Below are 14,687 nucleotides of genomic sequence, written 5' to 3'. Positions count from 1 at the left end.
AGGTACAGATTCAATCTGTTTAGTTATTTCAGGAGTGTTCAAGTCTCCTCTTTCTTCTTGAGTGACCTGGATAAACTTTCTCCCCCCAAGACAATGTCCATTTCTTCTTCTGTTTTTAGATATTAGGATGTTTCTGGTTTTCTTACTATGTACATCATCTTTCTTGTTATCTTTATTTAATCTGTTCTCTTTTAAAATTTGTTTTAATTAAAAATATTTTTTAAGAGACAAGTTCTCACTCTGTCTCCCAGGCTGGAGTGCAATGGTGCAATCACGTCTCACTGCAGACTTGAACTCTGGGCTCAAGTGATCCTCTCGCCTCAGCCTCCTGAGTAGCTGGGACTACAGGCATGTGACACCACACCTGACTAATTTTTAAAATTATTGCAGAGGGCCAGGAGCAGTGGCTCACGCCTGTAATCCCAGCACTTTGGGAGGCTGAGGTGGGCGGTTCACTTGAGATCAGGAGTTTGAGACCAGCCTGGCCAACATGGTGAAATCCCATTTCTACCAAAAATATAAAAATTAGTGGGGCTTGGTGGCAGGTGCCTGTAATCCCAGCTACTCGGGAGGCTGAGGCAGGAAAATTGCTTGGACTCAGGAGGTGGAGGTTGCAGTGACCCGAGATAGCACCACCACACTCCAGCCTGGGTGACAGAATGAGACTCTGTCTCAAAAAAATATTTTTTTGTAGAGACAGGGTTTTGCTATGTTGCCCAGGCTAGTCTTGAACTCCTGGCCTCAAGCGATCCTCCCGCTTTGGTCTCCCAAAGTGTTGGAATTAAAGGCATGAGCCACTGCGCTCAGCCTGTTCGCTTTGAGTTATGCCTTTTAAAATCATGATATGATGCCTTTCCCCCACTTTTTTTTTAAATGCTCTCAATGGAATATTTATTTTTTTTATTGTATATATTTCTGGTGTACAAAATGCTTCGATATACATATACATAGTAAAATGATTATTACAGACAAATTAAAATATTCATCATCCCACATAGTTAGCTATTTTTCATGGTGAAAGTACCTAAAATCTACCTTCTTAGCAAATTTTCAGTATACAGTGCAATACTATTAACTACAGTCTTGATGTTATATATCGGCTCTCCAGACTTATTCATTCTGTATAACTGTAACTTTGTACACTTTGACTTCCATCTCCCCATCTCCCCACTCCCCCACCCCTGGTAACCACTGTTCTATTCTCTATTTCTACATATTCAAGTGTTGTTTTTGTTTGTTTGTTTGTTTTGGATTTCACATGTAAGTGAAATCATGTAGCATTTTTCATTCTGTGTCTTTCCCAAGAAGCTATTTTTGGCTTTGACAATTTTTTCTATTGTATCTATTGTATCTTTATTTTAGACTTCATTCCTTTCATCTTTTTTTTTCTTTTTTTTTTTTTTGAGACGGAGTCTCACTCTGTCACCCACGCTGGAGTGAGTGCAGTGGCACCATCTCGGCTCACCACAAGCTCCACTTCCCGGGTTCACACCATTCTCCTGCCTCAGCCTCCCAAGTAGCTGGGACTACAGGCACCCGCCATCACGCACGGCTAATTTTTTGTATTTTTAGTAGAGACGGGGTGTCACTCTGTTAGCCAGGATGGTCTCGATCTCCTGACCTCCTGCCTTGGCCTCCCAAAGTGCTGGGATTACAGGCGTGAACCACCGTGCCCTGGCATTTCTATGTTTATTATTTTCTTCCTGCTACTTTCCTCAAGTTTATTCTGTGTTCTGTCACTAACTTCTTACATTAGATGATTTGATCATTAATTTTTACTCTTTATCTTTTTGATATAAGCAGTTAGGATTATACATTTCCCTATGAGTATTGCTTTAGTGCATACTAACACTTTAAATGTATAAGATTTTATTATGGTTCAGTCTCAAGTAGTGAAACACTCCCATGCTAATTTCCTCTTTGACCCACGAATTAAAGTGTGCTTGTGATTTTCAGAATAAAAAGATCTTTTTAAGGTATGTTTTTGAAATGTCTAAATGCATGGGATTTAGTTACCTTTTTATTGCTGATTTCTAACCATTAAATTTTGGTGAATGTGGTCTATTAGATGCCAGTCCTACAAAAATTTAAAGAACTTTCTGACTTACAGTGTGGTCAGTTTTTATAAATGTTTCATGAGTGGTTGAGAGGAATATGATTCCCCTAATTGTTTGGTGCAGGGACGCACATACGCATATTCATTAGGTCAAGCTTGTTAATTGTGTAGTTCAACCCTTCCGTAATTTACTGCTTGCTTTATTTATTCCTAGGAAAGGTGTGTTTTCCTATTCCATTCTGTTGAAGGATTTGACAATTTCTCATGTAGTTCTGTAATTTTTATCTTATAAATGAGATTGTGCTACTAATCATGAACAAATATAAAACTACCTTCCTGGGGAAGCAAACCTTTGATCATGATAGCAATCCTTTTTATTCATAATAATACTTGCTTGCTTTAAAGTTTATTTTCTCTGATATCAGTAAATTATGCCAGATTTTTTTTGCCTTTCAAACTCTCATTTGTATACTAGTATATATGTGTGTGTGTGTGGTGTGTGTGTGTGTATGTGTGTGTGTGTGTGTATTTTTAAACTCAATCTGACATTCTCTATTTACTGGAAAATATTAGTCACTCCATTACATTTACTGATATATTTAATCTTCTTTCTTGCATTATAGTTTCTGCTTTCTATTTGATCTGCCTTTTCTGTGCTTTATGGATTTTCTTTTTCAGTTTTCTTTTGGATTGATTGTATTTGTAAGTTTCATTGTCCTCTCTATTGTTTTGGAAGTTTTCACTCTATCCTATTCTTTTATTTTATTTATTTATTCATTTTTTTGAGACAGAGTCTTGCTTTGTTGCCCAGGCTGGAGTGCAGTGGCATGATCTCAGTTCACTGCAACCTCCAGCTCCCCTGTTCAAGAGATTCTCCTGCCTCAGCCTCCCGAGTAGCTGAGACTACAGGCTTGCGGACTAATTTTTTTGTATTTTTAGTAGAGATATGGCTTCACCATGTTGGCCAGGCTGGTCTCGAACTCCTAACCTCAAGTAATCTGCCCGCCTTGGCCTCCCAAAGTGCTGGGATTATAGGCGTAAGCCACCGCACTTGACCTATTCTATTCTTTTAGTCAGTACCCTTAAAATTTTGATATGCTTAAGTAACTTAGAGACCAAAGTTAAATAGAATATTTCTATCTCTGAACAATCATAGACCTTAGAATACTTTAAATAACTTATCCTCTGTTTTACATATTATTGTAGATCAATATTTAATTTTATGCTGATTTTTTTTCTTTTAACCCACAAATCAGTTGTTTTGCAAATGCTTTAGATCAGGGGTCAGCAGAAGTTTTCTGTGCAGGGACAGATTTTCTGGCCACAAGGTCTATGTCACAGTTACTCAACTCTGCTGTTGTACTACAGAAACGGCCATAAAACCATAAACAAATAAGAGTGGTTGTGTTTCAAGAAAGTTTTATTTACAAAAATAGGCAATGTACTGGATTTGGTCCATAGTTTGTCAACACTTGCTTTAGATCTTCTGATGTGATTATTGCTTTACTTAGTTACCATTTTTTCTTGAATCTTGGACTCTCCTTCTAGGTCATCTCCTCTCTCCTGAAGTATATTCTTTGGATAGTTCCTTAGTGAGGACCTGTTGGTCACAGGCTCTCAGAATTTCTTGACTTTGTCATTGGTTAATGTTATATCTTGGATGGAATGATAGTTTAGCTAGGTATATTTTCTCTAAATTTTTTTTTTTTGTGGGGGAAGGTGGGTAAGAAATAGCACATCCTATTATTTTTATATTTATTTTTAAATGTAAGCCCCCATCTTGATGAACCAGTAAAAAAAAATTCCAATTTAGTTCTCGTTGGGCCATCTTCTTATGTCCATTTTATAAAATTATATTTAAAGTTCTTAGACTTGCTTAGTGCTGACACATTAGAAAAAATGAGAGTCTTTTGGTGCTTTAAAGTTATTATTCTATAATTTTCTGAATTTTATAGTTGTTGCTAAAGATTTCTGGCGGTGGTTTAATTAGTGAGAAACTGTCATTTCTCACTGGCCAAAAAAGATTGTTTTTTTTTTCCTTTTCCTTTGGTGTTCTGTGGTTTTACTATGCTGTATCTTGGATGGTAGATATGGCTTGGATTTGTGTCCCTGACCGAATCTCATGTCAAGTTATAATCCCCAATGTTGGAGGAGGGGCCTGGTGGGAGGTGATTGGATCACAGGGAGCAGATTTCCCACTTGCTGTTCCCGTGATGGTGAGTGAGTTCTCACAAGAGCTGGTGTGTAGCACCTGCCCCTTCTCTCGCTCTTCCTCCTTCTCTGGCCATGTGAAGATGTGCCTGCTTCTCCCTTACCTTCTGCCATGGCTGTAAGTTTCCTGAGGCCTGCCAGCCATGCTTCCTATACAGCCTATAGAACCATGAGCCAATTAAACCTATTTTCTCATAAATTACCCAGTCTCAGGTAATTCTTTATAGCAATGCAATAACAGACTGATACAATAGTCTCTTTATGGCTCCTGCTTTAGATTTGTTGTAGTATCTAAATCTGAAGATTTACATCTTCCACTATTTTTTTAAAATTCTCAGCCATCACTTCTCTTAATATTTTCTCTTCTGTGTTCTATATGCTTTCTTGTTTTGGAACATTGATTAGGTGTATATTAGACCAAATTATTCTTTCTTCGTCTCTTTGTGCTACATTCTGGGTAATCTCTTTCAGTTCATTAATTCTCTTTTTTTGTCACCCAGGCTGGAGTGCAGTGGTGTGATTTCAGCTCACTGAAGTCTCAACCTCCTGGGGTCAAGAGATCCTTCTACTTCAGCCTCCCAAATAGCTGGTACTACAGGTGTGCACCATCATGCCTGGCTAAGTTTTTGTATTTTTTGTAGAGATGGGGTTTTGCCATGTTTCCCAGGCTGGTCTTGAACTCCTGAGCTCAAGCAATCCACTTCCCAAAGTGCTGGGATTACAGGCATGAGTCACCACACCTGGTCAATTCTCTTTTCAGTTGTGTTCATTCAGCTCTTTAAACCACATTGAATTCTGAATTTTAATGATTTTATAGTTCATGTTTAGAAGTTCTATTTTTTTTTTAAAGTTATATGGTTATTTTGGAAGGAAGCTATGCTAACCACTATACCACAAATACTACAGTGGTTATTTTGGGAGCCTCTAAATTTGCAGTCATTTTTTATTATACATTTTATTTCTTTAAATGTTTTATTTATTTATTTATATTGATGTATTTGTTTTGTTTTGAGACAGGCTCTCTCTTTCTCTGTTGCCCAGTCTGGAGTGCAGGGATGCAATCATAGCTCACTGCAGCCTTGACCTCCCAGGCCCAAGCTATCCTTCTACCCTAGTAGCTGGGTCTACTGCTGCCCACAACCACACCTGGCAAATTTTTGCTTTTTTTTTTTTTTTTTTGGTAGAGACAAAGTTTTGCTATGTTGCCCAGGCTGGTCTTGAACTCCTGGGCTCAAGCAATCTGCCCGCCTTGGCTTCCCAGAGTGCTGGGATTACTAGTGTGAGCCACCGCACCTGGCCTATTTAAATATTTTAAATGCAGTTATTTTACAATCTGTATCTGATAACTCTAACACTAAAAGTTCTTGGTTCTTGAGACTGTATTGTATATTAATCTTATTGGCTCTTGAGGAAGGTGACTTTTGTCCTCATGTCTTTTATGATTTTTGATTGTGAACTCATATGTGACTGGCTTTTCTATTTGAGATTCCTGAAGAGCCTGGGATAGAAATGATTTCCTCTACAACAGGATTTGTGTTGGTTTCTCTTAGGTCTTTCTCTTAGGACTGCTATCAGCATGGTGCGTCTTCAGTCTAGTCACTTACCTTGGGTTTCCTGGAGCAATCAGAGAGTAAATTCAACACCATACTCACATAAGGACAGGGCTTGATTACACATTCTCAGAGGAGACCTCCTCTACTCACCGTCTTGGCCAAGACAAACATGTTTGCGTTTGTTTTGGGTTCCTTTGCTTGAGGAAGGATTTTTTTTTTTCCCTAGCTCAGCTTCGTATTATAGGCATAGCTCTTGTGGGGTCCTCACTGATGTAAGGAGTCTCAGTTCCAATGCTTCACCAAGGACGTATGGAAAACTTGGTCTCTTATTCCTGGCCAAGCCATCAAAACCCAAGTCCAGGATACGGACACCAGCGCACGCACCCCAGGGCAGCTTTGGCTTATGGTTGTACTCACCACTCTGGCATGAGCTCCTATTTCATTTCGATCCCTGGAAACCTTCTTTAATTTCTTGTGAAATTTTCTGTGCATTCAGAGCTATATTTGCTGTGGGATACCCAGCATCTACTTGTTTCATAGTGAAACGTTTCCCAGGATATCTATCCAATCCTAAAGCAAGAGACCTGAAGAGTGTCGTTTTTTTGGAGAGAGGGTGTCGTCTAAGCTGGAGTGCAGTGGCACAATCATGGCTCACTACAGCCTCAACCTCCTGGGCTCAAGCAATCCTCCCACCCCAGCCTCCTGAGTAGTTGGGACTTCAAGCATGCGCCACTGTGCCTGGTTAATTATTTTTCTATTTTTTGTAGGAATTAGGGTTTCCTTATGTTGCCCAGGCTGGTACGGAACTCCTGGGCTCAAGCAATTCTCTCGCCTCGACCCCACAAAGTGCTGGGATTACAGGTGTGAGTCACTACACCAGTTGTAAAGTGTCTTTGCCTGTATTTTTCATGCTGCTTTTCTTCCTTTGATATATATTCTTTGCTAGTTATTTAGCACAAGTGCTAGTGCTAAGACTTTATTCCCTATTTGCTCATGTTAAACATGGCTACAGGTATTGTCCTAATAGAGTTTGGGTCAAGTCTCCTTGACCTTAGTATCTTTTTATCTTCTCCTTGCCTGAGATTGCAGAGTGTGAGGTCAAGGAAAGGGTGGAAAAGAGAGGGAAGGAGAGGGAGAAGGAGAGAGGGAGGGAGGTAGAGAGTGAAGGAGGAAGGGAGGGGAGAGAGGAGAGGAAGAAAGAGGTAGAGATAAGGGAGAGACAGAAAGAGAAAGAGGGAAAGAGGGAGGAAAAAGGGAGAGGGAGAGAGATGAGAGAGAGGTAGAAATGAGAGAGAAACAGGAAGAGAGGGAGAGAGGGAGGAAAAACAGAAAGAGATGAGAGACAGGGAGAGAGACAGAGAGGAAGTAAAAGAGGGAGGGGGGGAGAGGAAGAGGAGGAAAGAGGGAAAGGGATAGAGAGAGGAAGAAATAAAGATAAAAAGAGACAGAGATAGAGGGAGAGGGAGGGAGAGAGAGAAAAAGGGAGAGAGAGAAGGACAGGGAGAAAGAGAGAAAAAGAGAAAGGGGGAGAGAGAGAGAAAGTAAAGGGGAGAGAGGGAGGGAAGAGAGAGAGGGAAAGGGAGGGAGAGAGAGAGAAAGAAAAAGGGAGAGAGAGAAGGACAGGGAGAAAGAGAAAAAGAGAAAGGGGGAGATAGAGGGAGAAAGTAAAGGGGAGACAGGGAGGGAAAGGGAGAGAGGGAGAGAGAGTTCACGCAGGTAAGCAGGCTGGGGATGTGGGGTATTATGGTGAGTGGGTGTTTTCTGCTCTCTCTTCCTCAAGTTTGTTAAAAAGTCTTGTCCTACGGCTCTCACCAAGGTCACTCTCGGACCATTTGAGCCGTTTCCCCAATTCCAGGCAGAGTCCGAAATTTCCCTTTGAACCAATGTTGGGTCCCAGTGAGCCTCTTCCTTGACTTCCCCCATCTCTCCCCAGGGGCTGTTTTTCACCACTCGCCGTCTGTGGAAGACACAGAAGGCGAAACATGGGGCTTTGGGGCTCAATGTTTTGACCTGTGGGAAGAGGGGGACAGAACTGAGTCTCTGTGTGTTTCTTTCCCTTCCACGCCTCTCCTTCCCTCAGGACGTCTTATTTATTTTCGTGACTGCATCGCAAACTCCCTGTTATTGCTGAAGGTAATTAGCTCTGTGCAATTATAATCATTCTCCATTCCTCTCTGGCTTTCCTCTCCACCAGGGAAAAACAAAGGTGAGACACCGAGATTATGGGGGAGGGCTTCAGTCTTTGAAGCATTTTCTACACCTTTTCACCCCAACTGCCTACACATACCCTCTGCCTGCTTCTCTAGAAATTGAGGTATTCATGAGCTATCTTAGGATTTTGTCCATTGACCATCTTTATTCTGTTCTGGTTTTGGGGAGAAGATGGCTATGAGAAGCACTAATTCTTAGACATTATTTCTAGACTTTCAAAAAAGGATTATGGGTCAGGTGTGTGGGCTCATGCCTGTAATCCCAGCACTTTGGGAGATCAAGGCAGGAGGATCACTTGAGGTGAGGAGTTCGAGACCAGCCTGGGCAATATGGTGAGACCCCCCCCCACCCCCGCCGACCTCTAAAAAAATGTTTTAAATTAATGAGGCATGGTGGCACATACCTGTAGACTCAGCTACTTGGAGGCTGAGGTGGGAGGATCACTTGAGCCCAGGAGGTTGAGGCTTCAGTGAGCTATGATCGTGTCACTGCACTCCAGCCTGGGTGACAGAACAAGATGCTGTCTCAAGCAACAACAACAAAATAACACCCAAAAAGGTTTTTGACGTAAGCCTTGTGGCCTTTTGTTTTTTTTTTTTTGCTTATTGTCTATATTTATGCTGGTTTTAAATTTGTCTTTTACATTTGTTTTGTTAGTTTTGAGAGCTGAAGACACCATGATGCCCCTTCATTACCTTAATAGTACTTTCAAGACCACATCGGTCCCTTTCTGCGGGGAGCGAGGGCTTTAGACCCAGAAAGACTTCAATTCAAATCTTAGCTCTGTCATTTATGGGATATTGAGCAAGTTACTTACTCTCTGTATTTCAGTTTTATCCTTTAACACCGTGATAGCAATTATTGATAACAATTATTGTGGTGAGGTCCTGGGATATATACATGAATTAAACAAGGTTTGTTCACTCCACAAGATCATTTTCAAGGGCAGACTGAAAAATAAATGGTTACTAGCCAGACACAGTGGCTCATGCCTATAATCCCAGCACTTTGGGATGCCAAGGGAGGAAGATCATATTAGGTCGGGAGCTCGAGACCAGCCTGGCCAATATGGGGAAACCCCGTCTCTACCAAAAATACAAAAATTAGCTGGGTGTGGTGGTGCACACCTGTAATCCCAGCTACTCAGAAGGCTAAGGCAGGAGAATGGCTTGAACCCGGGAAACAGAGGTTGTAGAGTGCCGAGATCATGCCACTGCACTCCAGCCTGGGTGACAAAGCAAGATTTAGTTTCAAAAAAAAAAAAAAAAGAAAGAAAAAGAAATGATTACTTAAAATGGAGAGTACTCAGTCCAGTGGAAGCCTTCTCTGGGTGATCCTCAGAAGGCAATAGAGAAAGGACAGTGAGGATAAGGATGATCACTCATCTTTTCCAAGTGAGCGTGCACCCGATGAGACAGTTGAAATGACCTGTTGGAGGTAGCAGGAAGAACATGTGAGGAAAGTGTGTAACTGATGTGGCTCTGGGGGGTCATGTAGGAGGTGAAACTCAGGGGGCTGCAGGCACCAGGTCATGGAAGATTTGTGTGTCCTCCATGGTTTGCTGTTGTTGTTATTATTATTATTATTTATTTTTTTGAGATGGGGTTTCACTGTGTCACCCAGGCTGGAGTGCAGTGAGGATCATAGCTCACTGCAGCCTCAACCTCCTGGGATCAAATGATCCTCTTGCTTCAGCCTCCCAAGTTTCTGGGACTATAGGTGTGCAGCACCATGTCCGGCTAATTTTTAAATTTTTTTGTAGAGATGAAGTCTCACTGTGTTGTCCAGGCTGGTCTTGAACTCCTGGGCTCTCCCATCTCAGCCTCCCAAAGTGTTGGGATTGCAGGCATGAGCCACTGTGCTTGGCCTAGAATTTGTTCTTAGGAACAATGGATTTTTTTTTTTTTTTTGAGATGGAATCTCACTCTGTCCCCCAGGCTGGAATGCAGTGGCACAATCTCAGCTCACTGCAAGCTCCGCCTCTGGGGTTTATGCCATTTTCTTGCCTCAGCCTCCCTAGTAGCTGGGACTACAGGCGCCTGCCACCATGCCTGGCTAATTTTTTGTATTTTTAGTAGAGATGGGGTTTCACCGTGTTAGCCAGGATGATCTCGATCTCCTGACCTCATGATCCGCCTGCCTCGGCCTCCCAAAGTGCTGGGATTACAGGCGTGAGCCACTGCGCCTGGCCTACAGCTGATGTTTTTAAGTTGACAGTTAACCACAATCAGATTTGTGTTTTAAAAAATCATGTAGGAGCATTGAAAGAGATGGTTAAAAAGAATGAGGGAGATTGTATACATGGCTGCAACCATATCAGACATCCAACAGGCTCTTCTTACAATGTGACTTGGGTATTCCTTCCATTGAGTAGATCTGGGCAGGCTTATGATACTGTGAGACTCCCAAGCCAGATCACAGAACCCAACACAGCTTCCTCCTAGGCCTCTTGGTATGTTTGTTCTTGGAACTCACCAACATGCCATGAGGATGCCCAAGCATTTGTGGAAAGAGCCACAAGGAATGAAATTCAGGACCCCAGCTGAAAGCCAGGGCTGAGCTCCCAGCTGACAGTCAGTGTTAACTACCAGCCACGGGACTACACCGTCTTGAAAGTGGATCCTTCATTCTCAGTGAATTCCACATGGGACAGAGAGGGGCTGACCCTGCTCAGCCCTGCCCAAATTGCACATTCAAGGGCAGAAGAAAGGATTACTATTGTTTTAAGACATTGAATTTTGTCATGATTTGCTACTAGGCAATAGATAACTGATACAGGAGGGAGAATGGAAGCAGAGGCATTCATTAGAGAACATAATTACTCAGGCAAAGGATGATGAGGGCTTAGCTAAGGCATTCATTAATTGAACAAAATTATGACATGTCAGGCATGGTGCTATGACATGGGACTATAATGTGAACTAGGTAGACAAGGTCTCGTCTCTGAAGAAATTGACTGGCTATTGGGCAGAAAGGATGGAATACAGAATATAGCCACTGAGCTACTTTATTATGTTAACCTAAAGATGCGTGATCTTGTCATGTAATGTTAAGAGGCATTTAAAAAATAGAATAAAATAACTAGAAACATGCATTATTATATGGGTAAAACTTTTGGCATCCAGATAGCATAAAAATGGCATTGGCTTTACTCTCTAAGCCCTATTGAACATGTTAGGAAGCGGGTTTTTTTGTCTTTGTCTCCATTAGAGAAAACCTTCATGTGGGCACTTTTGATGCTCCCCTGCCATTGTGTGATTTTCAGTTCAAAGCACTTGCTATTTGCATCAGTGCTTGTTGCTTTTTTTTTTTTTTTGAGGCGGAGAGTGGGAGGATTACACAGTGTTCTTTTCAAGTGCTCTCAGTCCCTGATCAAAGGAAGGGTTTTAGAGCCTTAGTTTGTTGGAGATTCCATATAAGACTATTCTTGGTTTGGGGTTTTGAGTAAATCACTTTTGCTTAAACACCAGAGAGAAAGAGTACTAACCCATGCATTGTCAACTACAAAGTCCTATCCAAGTGCCAATTACTTTTATGATTTTAAAATGGAATTTGGGGTTGAGTGGTGTGCAGGGTATTCACCATTAGTGAGGGCATTTCTTTTGAAAGATAATAATTCATTCAATAATTCATTTAATTATTTGAGCCTTTACAAAGAACAGCCAGAGCTCCTCTCCGTCTCATTTTTTTGCCACACAAAATATTGCCCCCTCTTTCTTCTTCCCTTTAAGCACCACAATAAGGGGTCATCGTCACGACTCAATTCTGCGTGTCCACCGGGGCAAGCTGGCTTTTGTTCTCATCGCTCTGCTGGGAATGGAATCATCAGAGGTTTTTTTGTTGCTGAGTTCTTTGAACTCTTCTTAGTGCACAGTTGGCCTGGACTCTCTGCAGCACGTGGTGCTGTTGGCCATGGCCTGGTTCTCAAAACCTGGGTCTCCACTGACTTCTGTGCTAACACCCTTGGCTCTTACTTCTCTGATTCCTTTCTCTGCTTCTGTTGCCGGCTTTTCTTTCCACGTCTTTCTTTATCTTAAATGTTGATATTACCCCGGGTTTAGTTTTTAAATCCTGATGTGATTTGGAGCTGTGTCCCTGCCCAAATCTCATGTCTAATTGTAATCCCCAGTGTTGGAGGTAGGGCCTGGTGGGAGGTGATTGGATCATGTGGGTGGTTTCTGTGGTTTAACACCATTCCCCCTTGATGCTGTCACTGTGATAATGAGTTGTCATGAGATCCGGTTGTTTAGAAGTGTGTGGTACCTCCCCCCTCTCTCTTCCTCCTGCTCCCAACATGTGTAATGCTGGCACCCCACTTTGCCTTCTGCCATGATTGTAAGTTTGCTGAGACCTCCCCAGAAGCTGAGCAGATTACAGCATCGTACTTTCTGTACAGCCTATACAGACTGTGAACCAATTAAACCTGTTATCTTTATAAACCACCCAGTCTCAGATACTTCTTTATAGCAATGTGAGAATGAACTAATACAAATCCCTTCCAATTTCCCAAGATACTGTTATCTGTTTCTAAGACTTCCATCCATCTAATGACTGTCTATATTCTGATGAGTCTCAAAAACCACATCTACTACCCTTGAAGCATCCATGCTTAGGAATCACCATTTTTAAGGATATGAAATTGAACAAGCCATAGTCTCTCACAGCAAGGAGTTTACAGTCTATTAGGGCAGATTAGATGTGCACACGCATTGTGTCTTCAACTTGGACTTCCCCATCTGGCCTAGCAGAGAACAGATACTCAAGACTTAAGGTTTCAGGGTCAAAACTGATTTCTTCCATTGCATAGAGGTGGCACCAACACCTAAGGTGGTTAAGACAGACACCTATAGAGCTGTCTATTTTATTTGAAACTGGATGAAGTTTAGGAGAAAACAAATGCCATCTCAGCTGTAAGTAGAACTGTATCAGTTGGTGTTGCTTAGTTGTAAGCCACAAAAAATGGACTCCAGGTAATTTCAACTAAGAAAAAGTTTATTGAAAGAATAGAAAATATGTCTTGGAATTGAAGAAAGAACTGGACAACCAAGTTTCCAAAAAAAAAAAAAAAAAAAAAAAGCACCAACACCATTCTGGAAGACTGGGCAATAGAAACACACAGATTATCACATGCCCAAACCTTGGCTCAGAGGTAGCTCTGCCAGAACTCCAAAGTAAATAAAGCTCTGTAGGCTAAGACCTGTTAACTTAAAAAAAAATCACAAATTTATAAATTTAGAGAAGACTTTATTTCTTGTAAAGAATTACATCCTGCAAGATGGCCATCGCATATGCTGGGAAGCATAGCCTTTGGCCCAGACCATAGATAGGCACGTCAAAGGAGGAGGAGGAGCTAGGGCAGGAGTTTATGACGAACAGGTTGGCTAAACATACATATTCAACAGGTTAAGGAAGAGCTATGAATATTCATGAAGGTGGTCCTAATATATGTGGATTGAACAAACGTACATCTAACATAGGACCCATGTTCACACGGTGGCGGAGACTTAGCACTTAAACATATTACAGTTAGCCTCTAAATGTCAAAACATCTTTTCGGGATATGGAGCTACTCAAGTGTGCAGCCTCTGTAAACCAGCTGGAACCAGCTCATGGCTAGTGGTCTTCTTGTCAGGAGAAAGATACAGAAAGCAGCCTCTTGTCCAATCAAAGCTGTAGTTGTGACTGGTGGAATGGGGGTGCGGGTCAGTTAGTGTCTGGTGGTGAGCTAATTATTTTAATAATACTTATCCCAAGGTCAGTGCTTGTTTAGCTGCTAGAGAAAAATAAAAACCTTGTGGCCGTTAGAATGTAGTTCATTCTTGAAGTGTAGGGGTGTCTGACTTAACCCTGCCTGATATGACCTTAGATCCTGTTTAGAATTTGGTGTCTTATTGCCACAAAGAATCTGTTCTGTCAGTCTCGTGGTCTCTATTTTAACATTAGTGCTGGTCAGCCATGTCTGAACTGCAAAAGGGCATGTATTATGAGGCATGTCTGACGCCCCCATCCCATCGTGGTTGGGAACTCAGTTTTAAGGTTTTTCTGGGGTCCCCTTGGCCAAGAGAGTTTGTTCAGTAGGTTGGGGCAGCAGGCGGGGAGGTGGGGCTTCGGCGTTCATTTTTAGTTTACAGACCACAGTTACCGACCACAGTTACCAACCACAAGAGGAAAAAGTGGATTAGTCAATCACAGTGCCTGACTCATAGTGGGTATTCAATAGCAAATTTTTGAATGAAGAAATCAATGAATCCGGTTACTAGGTAGATTAGATAACACCTAAAATCTCTGCCAATGACACTAGAATTCTTTCATAGACCAATGTGAAACTTTCTGGGCATTTTAGTGTGGCTGGCGTGGTGAATAAACTATATTTCTGTCTGAAAGGAAAGACAAGAATACTGTGTGTAGCTGTCTTATTGGGATTCAGAAATCACTCTGGTTATTACCGAACCAAATAAAAATAAACTCAGAAGAAGCATCTGCACATCACGCTATTGTTTTTCTTCACTGATAGGAGCATTATGGGATGTTGAGGGATGCCAGAGAGGATGCAGTAATGTTCCTTTGGATATAGAACACTTGAGATTTGACAGTTTCACATTTTTCTTTATTTCTGTGAAGGCAGGATCCTGACAGGGCTATATTCTGCCACTCAC

The 14,687-nt window shown here is 41.7% G+C and overlaps 1 long non-coding RNA gene across 1 annotated transcript in view, besides 1 other annotated feature; it reads left to right on the top strand.

Annotated features, from left to right (window-relative positions):
• LOC105375343 (uncharacterized) overlaps positions 1-14,687 on the top strand; it is a 34,334-nt gene that overhangs the window by 8,243 nt on the left and 11,404 nt on the right. The window lies entirely within an intron of this gene.
• Positions 10,075-10,480: a silencer, noted in NCBI's record as "fragment chr7:68596468-68596873 (GRCh37/hg19 assembly coordinates)". NCBI's record gives its function as "represses an EF-1alpha promoter that drives an FKBP-Casp9 reporter gene in an ReSE screen in both phorbol 12-myristate 13-acetate-treated (for megakaryocytic differentiation) and untreated K562 erythroleukemia cells {active_cell/tissue: K562 | K562(+PMA)}" and the evidence as "EXISTENCE:reporter gene assay evidence [ECO:0000049][PMID:32094911]".

This window comes from Homo sapiens, chromosome 7 (assembly GCF_000001405.40).
Source record: "Homo sapiens chromosome 7, GRCh38.p14 Primary Assembly".
NCBI lineage: Eukaryota > Metazoa > Chordata > Mammalia > Primates > Hominidae > Homo > Homo sapiens.
The sequence above is the reverse complement of the archived record's forward strand: the minus strand, read 5'-3'. Positions and strand labels throughout refer to the sequence as shown.